The sequence below is a fragment of the Homo sapiens genome, chromosome 10, assembly GCF_000001405.40.
Source record: "Homo sapiens chromosome 10, GRCh38.p14 Primary Assembly".
In the NCBI taxonomy this organism is placed as follows: Eukaryota; Metazoa; Chordata; class Mammalia; order Primates; family Hominidae; genus Homo; species Homo sapiens.
In genome coordinates, this window is record NC_000010.11 from 130042326 (window position 1) to 130056091 (window position 13766).

A 13766-nucleotide genomic window follows, 5' to 3' on the forward strand; every position below is an offset into this window, starting at 1 on the left:
AGAAGAATAGAAAATCTGCTAATTTGATTAAACTTACATTCTTAGAAGAGTTTGTGAATGGATAAATATGACGAAGTTCCTTTGGCTCACTTCCTCAGAAGAAACATTGTGATCGATTTCACCATCGTTTTCTCAAACGGTCTCAGTCCTGGACAATTAGCTGGCGTGTTTGCTGGTTGGAGCGCGGAAGCCCTTTCTGTGCTGCCCAAGGCAGCAAGCTCAGCCCCTCGGATGGGAGACCTCCCTCAGCTCTGGCCCACCCCTCCTCGCGGGCATCACTCTACTGTTAACACCATGGGCATCTGAAATCAGTTGTTTGCTGTCAGGTTTGGATCCACCTCTCCGTCCTTTGATCCAGAGCTGCCGAAAGCCACATACTGTTTTCATCACCTCAGCCAACGTCTGGAGAGCCTATATTCGTATAGCCAGTGTGAGAAAGGTGGAAACTGAAAACACAAGTAGGGAAAGCAACGCTTGGAAAGGAGGTGGGCCGTCACGGCTTGGAGGAAACTTGAAAGTGAACTGAATATCAGACTCTATTAAGGAATTATGGATCATTTTGTTAAATGTGTGTATCAGTCGTGGCAAAATACCCTTATCTGTTAAAGACACATACTGAGGTATTCAAGGTGGAATTACGGATTACCTTAATACACTCCAGGAAAAAACTCGGAGACAGTGCGGAAGCAAGCCTGCAAAACGCTGATGCTCACTGCAGCTGGGTGAGGGGCGTGGAGGCTCACTGGCCTAGCATGCTTGAGTATGTTTGAATTTTCCATAACAATATGTTTTTTAAAATAAGAAAGTTAAGCAGCTGATATAATTAAAACACCAACAGATGAGACAATGCTGCCGTAAGTCTCAAGGTTACCGCAGGGAATGCTTCATAACCTAAGTGTGTTTTCCCAAGGAGTTATACGGCAAAAAATTGATCATCATTACTTATAAACATGCTGGTATTCCTGGAAAATTGAAGAGAACGCGTTAACATATTAAAGCAAATTGGAAAGGTTATCAGCTGGCTAGACACAAAACACACCAAATCTAACAGTCCTCCTAAATATCAGCCATAACCCACTGGAAAGTATGATTTTTACAAGATGCCCATTACCAAGACGGGCAGGTGGGAAAAAGCCCCGCCCCTCTGTACTGTGCTTCTCTCTCTGGGCAGCTCAGCAACTTTGCTCGTTCCAGCAGCAGAAAGTCTCTCCCCAACCCCTCTGTCAGCCCTGGTCTTCTTCTCCCCTCCTCAACCATGGCACTCACGCCCAGACCAAGGGGCAGGTTGGGGGAACAAACCCCATAAGCACCCCCAGGTGCCCTGCTCTCCCGCTGAGTCAGACATGCCTTTTCCTGTGCCTGATACCCAGATGTTCTCCCCGAGGGGTGTGGTCTTCCAGAAGTTGAAGCATCTCCACCCCACTGTTCCAGAGGTGCTTATGCCCTGCCTTGGCATAACAAGGGCACCGTCCATCCTGACAGTTAAACCAAAATGAACGAGCAGATGCCCCAGCAATGTGGAGCTCCGCCTCTTGCAGGTGGAACCTACTTGTAGCTCGTCATGATGGGAGGCTTTTTAGTTTCTGCACATTACAGAGGTGACACTCTTAGGGTTGGGGCTCAGCCTGGGCACCTGGACAGTGCCCAGGGGCCTTTGCAGACCATGGCAGGGAGAGAGAGAGAGAGAGAGAGAAAGAGAGAGAGGGAGAGGGAGGAAGGGAGAGGGAGAGAGAGATGGTAAAGAAGGAGAAGACTTTAGCTTGGGACAGCTGGTTTCCTCCAGTCTGACCAGGCCAACATGTGAACCTGGTCAGGAAAGCTTGCAAGGCTGTGGGGATGCTGTCTGGGGACTGCCCCTGAGGAGCCACCCACTGGTGCACTGTGATAGGAGAAGCCTTGGCGGGAAAAGTGACCGAGACATTTGAGAACAGGCTGAGCCTGATGGGGGCCGAGCTGGGAACTGGAGGTGAGATCCCCTGTGACTTAAGAAATAGGATATGCGGATGTGGCTGGAGGAGGAAAGTGGAGAGGTCTTGGCTGCACCCCATGACGCCTCCTCCAGCCCAGCCCAGCCTGGGCTTCCCTTCACTCCCAGGCTTGCTTTTCTTCCTTCCTTCCACATCTACCTGCCAGGTAGGCTCTGCTCCAGCCAGGGCTGCCAGGGAGCCAGGGGCTGGGAACCCCGGGTGTGGTCTTTGAGGAAGGGGGTTTCATTGAGGTGAGCTGGTCACTCTGCTAAGGGCTCGGAAAGGCATCACGCTGGGCTACAAAGTGCACCCAGCTGCAGATGAGCAAAGTCAGGGAAAGGGATGCTTGGCTCTTAAATCCCATTTGGCTTCTGATGGAAGGGGTGCGTGCAAGTTGCCAGCATGATGGAAGGGAAATCATGAACCAGATGACCCGGTGGATCCATTTGTCAACGGACCACTTGTCAGCCTTGGGAAGTCCAGACTTCCTCTGGGGATGTACCCTTGCCACCTGTGTACCCCAGAAAGGGCTTCCTATGGCTTGTGGGACAAGAGGTGCAAACAGAGAGGCCATTACTACCAACAGCAATGCCCAGCCCTGCGCATAGGTGTGCGGATTGCAAGCAGGGTCCTTACTCAGTGAGGTGAAGACCTAGGCTGGAGCTCAGGTCTACCGGCCCATCACTGGCATGTGGCTGATGCTCCAGTGCCTGCCACACCCCGATGCCTCCCTACCGGCCCCTCCTGCCCTGTCCCCCCGTCCCCTCTGTTCTCTGGGGTCCAGGGGCCCCCACTGCCTGTGGAGGTGAACAAAACCCACCCCATGGAGAAAGTTTAGGACCTGACCCAGCGTGGGTCTGGCTTTCCTGAGGGCAAGGAACAGCTTTGTCCCAGTACTGGCCACCTGGCGCCTCCAAATGGCTTTTTCTTGCAGGGCAGGCAGGCTCTGGGCAGGCACCTCGCCAGGCATTGCGCCCTCTGCCTGCAGGTCGGCGGGGCCTGCTCTTCCCGGCTCCTGAAATGCATTTCCTTCCCGACTCCGAGGTCCTGCTTCCAGAACCTTTGGCAACAGAAAAGGAAACCCGCACAGGCGTCAAATGTCTTCGGACTGAAACTAGCAGGTGACGAACCATACAGCCCCAACTCTGCTGCCCCGCCCACAGTGCCCCGCAGACAGTGGCAGCAACGCCCCGCCCCGCAGCACTGCAGCTGCACCCCCAGGACGCCCCCCGCGAGCGCCACGCCCCAAAACCGCGAGGCGCCCCTGGGAGCTGCCTCCAGACCTTCGTTCCGGGAACGTTTCTGTTCTCTGGCATTTTCGTTTGAAGCAGAGATGTCAAAAAATAAATGCAGCCAAGGTGTCAATAGGCTGCCATGGTATGTCCAGCCACACCCCACACAACTGGACCTGAAGTCACGACTCAGAAAGTCACAGCCACGTCCCGCCACGCGGGCGGGAAAACGTGGAAGCAAATGCGATTGCCTCGACTCGAGGCTCAGCTAAGGAGCAGTCAGGTCCGTGTCACCTGTGGCTTCCACTCCCAGGAAGTCTGATGGCTCCGGTCGTGGCTGTTGTGGGGAATCCGTCGTGTGGAGAACGTGCCTGCCACGTGCGGGGGAGAAAGGAGCCACCTTCCGAGTACGCGACCTCACCTGCCGGGCGTGAGGTGCTGGACTGAGACCAGGGTGGGGCTCTGGGCATGGGAGGTGGGGCTGGGCGTGGGGCACGTGGCACAGAGGGATGCGCGTGGTAGGGCTCAGGGCAGACGGAACGTGGAACAGGGAGTGGCTCAGGGCATGGGGATGGGGCGGGGCGTGGGACGGGGCGTGGCGTGGGGCACAGGAAGGGGCAGGGCACGAGGAGTGGGGCGAGAGGTGCTAAGTGGGGCCTGAGTGGGGCGCGGGGCGTGGCGCGGAGTGGGGTGGAGCGGGTGGGGCGAGGCTCGGCGTGGGACACGAGGGACGGGACGCGGGGGCACGGCAATGGGTGGCGCAGGGCGCACTCTCGGGCTCCCTGCAGGTGGGCAGCCCCACCTGTGCACGCCGCTCCCCCGCCCAGCGCCTCCCCCGGGACCTGCTCCAGAAGCGCCAGTTGCGGGACCCCACACGGAAGGCAGTCTTCGGTGGTTCTCACTGCAATTCCTCTTAATTATGTGTGACATAAAAAGACCACCTACAGACGAGACAATGCTGCCGTAAGAGTCTCGGGGTTACTGCAGGGAATTCTTCATAACCGAAGTGTGTTTTCCCCGAGGAGTTATGCTACCATTTGATTTAATTTTTAATTTTTACATTTTAATCAAAAATAGATCAAATGGTGGTGGTCTCTCCGGGGAAACACACTTCAGATAGGAAGCCGGCCATGCTCCTTTAAATATGGAAACTGCCGTCTCCGCGCTGCGGGCTGGGCGTGTCCTTTCTGGGAGGGGCCTTGGGCCATGCACCTGAGGCCACCAGCTCGCCCACGCCGCCCGCTCACCTGCACGCGGAGGTTCATTTAATCCGTGCGTCTATGCAGCGCCTAGGCCTAACTCTCCCAGGAGGCGCCAGTCACGTTCCCCAGGGGGAGCTCCCTGACCTTTCTGGGGGTGACAGAGTGGGGAAGTGGGCAGTGTGAGCCCACCCCTGAGGCGTGTGTGTGTAAGCGTGCACACTTGCTTTTTAACGTTCTGTATTCTAGTCAACAGACAGTACGGTTGTTCAGTTGCAAGGAAAGGCGTTCACACTATAATCCAGGTGTTTCACTGGAAGAGATGTGTCTCGCATCCACAGTGGTCAGCTGGCTTGTCACATCACGGCACTGAGGTTGGTCTAGGCTCCTGCCAATATCCAGATGGGCTCCAAAAGCAGCCACCCAATCCCCTGTGTGAGCCTGGCGGATGCACTGGGTGCATTCTGCAGCTGCTCTGGACCTGGTGTTATCATACAGGGGAGCCTGGTGTGGACCCCATGGGGTTGCCGTGGGGATGAAGTTTCCATGGAGTAAAGTGCTACAGTACTGGCTGCAGGTAGGAAGTGAAGCTATTTTGTTCCTGTTGTTATTGCAAGGGAAATAAAGGCAGTCTGCTCCCTCGCTCTCTCTCAGCCCCAGCATCAGCACAGGGCTTGGGGCGGGAGGGTCTGTGTAAGGCACTGAGCGGGGCTGCGTACTTGGTAGGGAAGCCTCCAGAGCCCACCTTCCCTGAGGCTGCCTTAATGCCCTGATGATGCCCACAGCTCTCAACCTGCAGCCGCTTTCTCAAATTCCTGGATTCCTGCACTAAGTAACTTACTAAGGCCCCCCGCACTCCAGGCTTCCTGCGTCCAGAGCTGGTCAGACCCGGACGAAGCCAGCTGAGCTGAATGATGAGGGGTCCACCTTCTCTTTCACTCCTGTCCCTAAACCCATGGACAGGTGACACCCAGGCCACGTGACCCTAGCTCCCTGAGACATACTTTCACATCCTTCTATTTTAACATGGTGGCCTTGGCCTCTAGTGCCCATAAGAGATGCCCAAACCCAGGTTTCTCCTCCTCCCATCAATGTCATTTCCATAAAGACCCACTGGAAACATTTTTTTTTTTCGGATTTATCACCAGGAAAGTAAGGTGGCTTCCCCTAAAGCACAGATGTGCTTCCTTTCTGGAGGCCAGCTGTTTTTGCCTTTGAAGCCCAGATAAAAATCGAGTGCTCCAGTCTGGCAGCCTGACTTTTGGTCCAAGTGTCTCCCCCTCAATACTATTTGCAATTTGTCTCCTGCCTCTGCCTCTGTGGCTCATCACAGGACTTCATCCCAGTCATGGGGCATCACAGGCCCCCTATCATCTTGGTGCCCTGGAGCCCAGTAAGCAGACAGATGGAAGCTATCAGGGAGGAGGAGGCAGGAAGGGGAGGACAGCAGGCTTGCCAGCCCTCTGTGGATATATGACGGCTGTCTGGGGGTCAGCTGTCCAGCTCACCCCTACAGCTGCAGGACAGCAGGCCCAGGGGAAAGATGACCTGGCTGTGGTCCCTCCCTGGACCCACCTGCCTTGACAGAGGGTAAGAGCCCCAGTCTGTGGGTGCCCCTCCTACTGGCCAGGTTGGCTGAGAGTAGGTTCCCTCTCTCCTGGGGCGCCCAATCTCTGCCATCCCCCTCCTTAGCCCCATCATTACCTAGCCTGTGACTGGCTGGATACACACTCGCCTAAGTCCCCAGTACCCTCTGCTGGGACACCAGGGTCCCTGCAAGTCCCCAACTCACGTCACAGGGCAAGTGGATTCAGCTGTTCCAGATCCATGGGAGCCCAAAGAATTGAGACGTGCAGGGACCTCGGTCACTTTTAGGCTCCAAGGGCCACCTACTAGCCCCACGGCTACAAAAGCTCCAGATACTCTGGTGCACCAAGTCTTCCTGTAGACCACGCAATGCAGAGGAAGCCATGAGCTTGAGAGACATCTTCTTTTTAAGAGTCAGAATCTCCTCTGTCTCCCAGGCTGGAGTGGAGTGGTATAACCATGGCTCACTGTCATCTTGAACTCCTGGGCTCAAACAATCCTCCCGCCTCAGTCCCCCAAGCAGCTAGGAGTACAGACATGCGCCACCATACCCAGTTAGTTTTATTTATTTATTCTTAGACATAGGGTCTCGCTATATTGCCCAGGCTGGTTTCCAACTCCTGGTCTCAGAGGATCCTCCTACCTCGGCCTCCCCAGTCACTGGGGTTACAGATGTGAGCCACCGTGCCCAGCTCCATTTTCTTAATATAACCAAATGCAGACGCTCTGAAATGTGCAAGGCCGCAGCTGGCCCCTAGGACTCCGGGGCTCCTTCTCTCAGCACTATCCCAGGTTTACCCCTGAGAGACAAGCCCCAGCTTGTGCTCCTTGCCAGCCCACTGCCCGGGCTTCCTTTGCAATGTCAGGTGCAGCACCTGGGCTCATGCGTTTGCACCTCCTATGTTGGATCTCCATCCACAGGGAAATCATCCAGTGGCGATCATGGAGACAGCAGGCATCTTTGAGCAATGGGGGCTCGGGCAAGCTCCCCCTCTGCCACTGGAGGGAACACTGTGCAGGGGCCCCTCGCCACCCTGTTGTGTTGTGACTCTGTGGCTCATTTATTCAGAGCCGGAGCTCCAAACGACTGATTCCAAGTGGAAAACATGCCCCGGGTGCCATCCAGGGTGGGACAAGCATGGTGTGCGGCAGACCGGGCAGCCCCTGGGCCAGCCAGATCGCCTCCACCTGGAGGGGCCCTTGTTGAACCAGCCCCGGGAAGATGCTTGAGTACCCTTTGGTCCTGGGCAGGGGCTTGGGGACCGGAGCCCCCACTCAGACCGGTGGGTGCTCAAAGGTGGGTCCTGATAAGGGAACCTACAGGGGTTTTGGGTTCACGCTGTGGCCAACTCACGCTGACTTCGCAGTCACTTTGTTGTCGCTGCTACCAGTGACAGTTCTTTTGCAGACAACATGTAGAAAGAGGCGCTTTGAGTCCTGAGGGAGACCATTCCACCGGCAGGACTGAGTCTGGGTTTTTAGAATTGGAAGACCTCACCAAAATAACAATTAGGGAGATTTAAAAGTCAAAGGAAATGACTTAAATATTAAATGAAAAATTCAAGATGTTAATTTGAATTTCTATCCTTGTAGATGGTATTGCTACAGAATCAAAGGAGAGAAAGAGGAAAATACACCGATGGCTGTAAAACCATCGGTGATGAAATTGAGTGGTTTAAAATCTCATCTCCAAGTGTTCTGTGTTTTCAGGGCCTCGACAGTGTGCATGGATAGCTTTTATACCCAGGAGAAAATCATCAGCCATAATGGAAAAACGGGAGGCGGGGCAGGATTCAAAAACAGAAAACAGGTGGTGGGACCCGCCTGGGCGAGACATTCCTGGCAGGCTGCAGGCGCATGACTGAGAAGCAGGAATGGGCCACGCTCACACCCAAACTTCCACTCTCGCTGGCCCCGGCCAAGTGCAGAATTGCGGCTGTGGCTCCCCAAGTTCTGAGGCTCATTAAGAATAGGTTCAGCTGGGTGCAGTGGCTCACGCCTGCAATCCCAGCACTTTGGGAAGCCAAGGCGGGAGGATCACTTGAGCCCAGGAGTTCAAGACCAGCCTGAGCAACATGGCTGAACAACAACAAAAATTAACCAGACGTGGCAGCGTGCGCCTGTGGTCCCAGCTACATGGGAGGTCAAAGCTGCAGTGAGCCCTGGTTGCTCCACCGCACTCCAGCCTAGATAACGGAGCAAGACCCTGTCCATTCATTCATACATAAATAAAATAATCAGAATCATCTTAGTCACAAAATAAAGGCAAAATGGAAAATAACGGGTAGTAAGGCCTTAAAACAATGTGTTTTTTTAAAGAAACTTGAACATCTATACATGCCGTTTCTACCTCCATTACCATAGGGAGCATCTGAGTTCATTTCACATAAACAAAGAAGCATGCATTCTCTCTCAGATGCTATTTAAGAAATTATTCTAAGAGATTGTTTTGAATATAAAGAGCATGTGGCAACCGAATCAGCTCTTAACACGGGATGTAAACCCTGGCGCCTCTCCGTCTGGGGTCAGTTCCTGCTGGAGCACTGACCTCAGCCATAGGCAGGTGTGTGGCCTTGGCCAGTGCCCCGACTTCCTTGTCTCCAACATGGATGATGGTCCCATCTCAGGCTGTGGAGGGACCACTGAGCTGTTACGTGCAAAACACGCCGGCCCGTGCGTGGACAGGTGCAGCGCTGGCTGTGATTACAGTCCTTAGATTCCACTGCTAAGCCAACTTGCCATTTATTCAAGGTTCATGTTTGAAACACACAAAAAATGGAAAACTACAATACATAGCGAACATCCATGTTCTCACCAGAATTAACTGTTAACACTTGGTCATACTTGCTTTTGCTTTTGTGATACTTAGCAAACGGTGACCGTTGTGCTCACCTTCCTTCAGTGGCTGTTGAGTCTCATCTCCCTCTCCTACCCCCGCCTCATTAAGAGTCTCATCTCCCTCTCCTACCCCCGCCTCATTAAGAGTCTCATCTCCCTCTCCTACCCCCGCCTCATTAAGAGTCTCATCTCCCTCTCCCGCCCCCACCTAGTTAAGAGTCTCATCTCCCTCTCCCGCCCCCACCTAGTTAAGAGTCTCATCTCCCTCTCCCGCCCCCACCTAGTTAAGAGTCTCATCTCCCTCTCCCGCCCCCGCCTCATTAAGAGTCTCATCTCCCTCTCCTACCCCCGCCTCATTAAGAGTCTCATCTCCCTCTCCTACCCCTGCCTCATTAAGAGTCTCATCTCCCTCTCCCGCCCCCACCTAGTTAAGAGTCTCATCTCCCTCTCCCGCCCCCACCTAGTTAAGAGTCTCATCTCCCTCTCTCGCCCCCACCTAGTTAAGAGTCTCATCTCCCTCTCCCGCCCCCACCTAGTTAAGAGTCTCATCTCCCTCTCCCGCCCCCACCTAGTTAAGAGTCTCATCTCCCTCTCTCGCCCCCACCTAGTTAAGAGTCTCATCTCCCTCTCTCGCCCCCACCTAGTTAAGAGTCTCATCTCCCTCTCCCGCCCCCACCTAGTTAAGAGTCTCATCTCCCTCTCCTACCCCCGCCTCATTAAGAGTCTCATCTCCCTCTCCTACCCCTGCCTCATTAAGAGTCTCATCTCCCTCTCCCGCCCCCACCTAGTTAAGAGTCTCATCTCCCTCTCCCGCCCCCACCTAGTTAAGAGTCTCATCTCCCTCTCCTACCCCCGCCTCATTAAGAGTCTCATCTCCCTCTCCTACCCCTGCCTCATTAAGAGTCTCATCTCCCTCTCCCGCCCCCACCTAGTTAAGAGTCTCATCTCCCTCTCTCGCCCCCACCTAGTTAAGAGTCTCATCTCCCTCTCCCGCCCCCACCTCAGGAGGCCACCACCATACATCCTTCCGGCCTGTATAAAATAGCTTCTCTACTTTTGCCCTGGGTTAGGAACCTGGACGGGAGCCCGATGGGGGTCACATGCTGCTCTATGGAGCTCCTTGAGGCAAAGAAGTGGGGGTCCATGTACCCCACACAGGACAGCGGTCACCCCTGGGCCACCCAATCATGGAGGGTGACTCCAGGTACCTCCAGGTGAGGCAGCTTGAACCACCAGGGCGATCTCTGGAGAAGGTAGCCATGGGAGCCGGGAGCACCAAGCACAGTCCCCCACACCCAGAAGCATCCCCGGGATAGTTACTGCCCCCAGATGACACAGCCAGGACACGTGAGGTGCAAGCTGGGTCTCACGCCCAGACCAGCTTTGAGGAGGCTGCCCCAGCCTGCGTCAGCCCCATAGGACACTTGAGGTTACACAGCTGAATCTTTGGACCCCCTCACCTTGTCATCATAGACTTTTACTGTACCTATCTAATCACAAACGTAAGCTGCCTATTTTAATATCAGGAGCTATTTTAATAAAAGTACAGGATTAAAGGAAGAGCTTAGACCAGGACACCAGTGAATAAGACTATCGGTCAACTAATCAGCGTTACTCTTTCATGGTCCTCTCAGTACCCTTGAAGATAAAGAAAATTATTAGTAGAGCATTTGAAAATTCTTGCATTCACTCTGAAGAGAAAAACAATGCATGTTCTAAGAATGTTTTCCAAACAGCTAACTCTAGTCGAGTAGTGGTGGAGGTCATTCGTACAGTAAACCTTTGCAGCCAAACAGGAATACCAAGTGGGCAGAGTCTTGCACATTTCTATGAATTGTGTATACAGAGGAACTATGGGCAGGCAGTGGCAAAATGTTGAGTTTTGTTACGCTAGAAGTTTCTAAGTGTTTTTTGTTTGTTTGTTTGTTTGGAGATGGAGTCTTGCTCTGTGGCCCAGGCTGGAGTGCAGTGGCATGATCTCGGCTCACTGCAACCTCCGACTCCAGGGTTCAGGCGATTCTCCTACCTCAGCCTCCTGAGTAGCTGGGACTACAGGCCCCTGCCATCACACCCAGCTAATTTTTGTATTTTTAGTAGAAACGGGGTTTCACTATGTTGGCCAGGATGGTCTCGATCTCCTGATATATCACATGACCTCGTGATCCGCCTGCCTTGGTCTCCCAAAGTGCTGGGATTACAGGCGTGAGCCACCACGCCCGGCCAAAGTTGCTAAGTTTTTATACTGATGGAGAGCTTGAAAGAATATAAAAAATACTTCAGGATGTTTTTTAAGCCGCTAAAACAAAACTGTTATTCATTAAGGTTTTTGGGACCACAGAGTCAGACCCCCTGGTTCTTGCCTCTACCTCTGTGATGGTGTTTTCCAGAACAAGGCCCCAGGCATGTGAGACCCCCACAGGAATATTTCCACCGGTGTCAGGAGCTTGCTGTTGGGCGTGAGACTCAAGGGGGCGAATGGCTGGGACTCGGGGCAGTTTGCGGGTAGCACAGCAGCCAAGAGGGCTCCTCGAAAGCCAGGACTTTTGGACAAGGGATCCCGAGTACATCTGTCAATTACTATGGATGCCAGTGAAACCGCGTCTTAAGTGGAACCATCTGGAAAGACAAGGAAGCTTTGTCAGAGTCTCCTCCCACTCTGTTGCCAGGAGGCTGGCCCAGCACCAACTCAAGGAGAAACTGTGGGTCCCTGGGAGAGTGGGGGAAGGCCCCTTAGGGACCATGCCTGGATGGGGAGATTCTCACGTGGGAGAGTGAGTGTCTGAACCCAAATGGAAAGGACGAGAGCAAGTGTGAGCCATCCCTCCAAGTGCCACCGTGGGTCATGGGCCAGTATGCTGTTTTGAATTTTATTGTGGCAGGAACACTTGCCATCAGATCTGTCCTTTTAGCAGAGTTTTAAGTGTACAACATGGCATTGTTACCTACAGGCACAGTGTTGTTCGCAGATCTCGGGAACCCATGCATCTGCCATAAGTGAAATTTTATACTGGCTGACTTGCAACTGCCCGTTTTCCCTCCCTCCAGCTCCTGGCAAGCATCATTCTATTCTGGGCTTCTGTGAGCTCAAAGTTTCCAGGTTCCACATAGAAGTGAATCACACAGTATGTTTTTTCCTGTGTCTGGCTTGTTTCACTTAGCATGATGTCCTCCAGCTTTGTCCATGTTGTCACATAGGACAGGGTTTCCTCCTTTTTAAAGACTGAGTAATATTCCATCATATGTATAAGTCACATTTTCCTCATCTGCTGTCTTTGAGTGGGCATGCAGGTTGTTTTCACATCCAGGCTATTGTGAATAGTGCTACAATGAACAAAGGAGTGCTAATAACTCTTTGAGATCTCATTAGAATTCTTTTGGATACATACGCAAAAGTGAGATTGCTGGATCATAGGGTAGTGCTATTTTCAGTTTTCTGAGGAACTTCCACACTGTTTTCCATAGCGGCTGCACCATTTTGCATTCCTACCAACAGTGGGTATGGCTGCCAATTTCTTCACATTCTCACCAACACTTGTCTTTTGTTTTTTAAATGGGTGTGAGGTGGTATCTCATTGTGATTTTGATTTGCAATGCCCTGATGAGTAGTAACATTGCATATCTTTTCATCTATCTGTTAAAGGCATCACACTTTCTAATTTTGAAATATATTACAAAGCTACAGTAATAAAAATGGTATAGTACTGACATAAAGACAAATCTATAGACCAATGGAATAGAGTCAAGAAATAAATCCAACCATATATGGTCAACTGCTCTTCAATAAGGGTGCCAAGAATATAAAATGGGGGAAATACAGTCTCCAACAAATGGTATTGAGAAAACTGGATATGCAAATACAAAAGAATGAAATTGAACGATTATCTTACACCATACAAAAAAAAATCAACTCAAAATGGATTAAAGACTTCAATGTAAGTCCTAAAACTATAAAACTCCTAGATTTCCCCAAGTGGGCTAATGCCTAGCAAACAAACAGAAAACAAAAAACTCCCAGAAAAAAAACAGAGAGAAGGTTTCATGACATTGGAATTGATTTCATGGATATTACCCCAAAAGCACAGGCAACAAAAGCAAAAATAGACAAGTGGGATTTCATCAAATTGAAAAGCTTCTTTACAGCAAAGGAAGCAATCAAGAGTGAAAAGGCAACCTACAGAATGGGAGAAAATATTTGCAAACCACATATCTGATAAAAGGTCAATTACCAAAATATATAAGGAATTCACACAACTCAAAAGCAAAAAAAGTAATAGCCCAATTTAAAAATGGGCTTTGGACATTTCTCCAAAGGAGACATAGGAATGGCCATGGGTCATTTTCGATCATCAACAACTTGCAGTGATTGCCCCAGGCATTTATGACTCCTGAGATATAATTTCTTCCACTGATTTAAACTCATTTTTAAAAAGTTTGTCAAGAATGTTTGAAAAAATTAAGAATTATGAATCATCACTGAATTGGCTTTCCTGAAATCTGAATAAATGGGCCTCACCTGGCCGGGCACGGTGGCTCACGCCTGTAAGCCCAGCACTTTAGGAGGCCGAGGCAGGCAGATCATGAGGTCAGGAGTTTGAGACCAGCCTGGCCAACATGGTGAAACCCCATCTCTACTAAAAATACAAAAAAAATAGCCGGATGTGGTGGTGCGGGCCTGTGGTCCCAGCTACTTGGGAGGCTGAGGCAGGGGAATTGCTTGAACCCAGGAGGCAGAGGTTGCAGTGAGCTGAGATCGCATCACTGTACTCCAGCCTGGATAACAGAGCAAGACTCCGTCTCCAAAAGTAAAAAAAAAAAAAAAAAAAAAAAAAAAGAAAGAAAAGAAAAATGGGCCTTATCAGAAGAGTGATGAAATAGATCATTTTAACTGAAAAATGCATTGGTGGCTGATGATTGTTAACTTTTTAAATAACTTTACTCTTTTT

The 13766-nt window shown here is 51.6% G+C and overlaps 1 protein-coding gene across 2 annotated transcripts in view, besides 2 other annotated features; it reads right to left on the minus strand.

Annotated features, from left to right (window-relative positions):
* Nucleotides 1–13766, minus strand: part of C10orf143 (chromosome 10 open reading frame 143) — a 75706-nt gene that overhangs the window by 7201 nt on the left and 54739 nt on the right. The window lies entirely within an intron of this gene.
* Nucleotides 2048–2547: an enhancer, noted in NCBI's record as "H3K4me1 hESC enhancer chr10:131842637-131843136 (GRCh37/hg19 assembly coordinates)". NCBI's record gives its function as "activates a minimal SCP1, AML or CMV promoter by ChIP-STARR-seq in naive H9 embryonic stem cells {active_cell/tissue: H9 hESC(naive)}" and the evidence as "EXISTENCE:reporter gene assay evidence [ECO:0000049][PMID:30033119]".
* Nucleotides 6661–7545: an enhancer, noted in NCBI's record as "H3K4me1 hESC enhancer chr10:131847250-131848134 (GRCh37/hg19 assembly coordinates)". NCBI's record gives its function as "activates a minimal SCP1, AML or CMV promoter by ChIP-STARR-seq in naive H9 embryonic stem cells {active_cell/tissue: H9 hESC(naive)}" and the evidence as "EXISTENCE:reporter gene assay evidence [ECO:0000049][PMID:30033119]".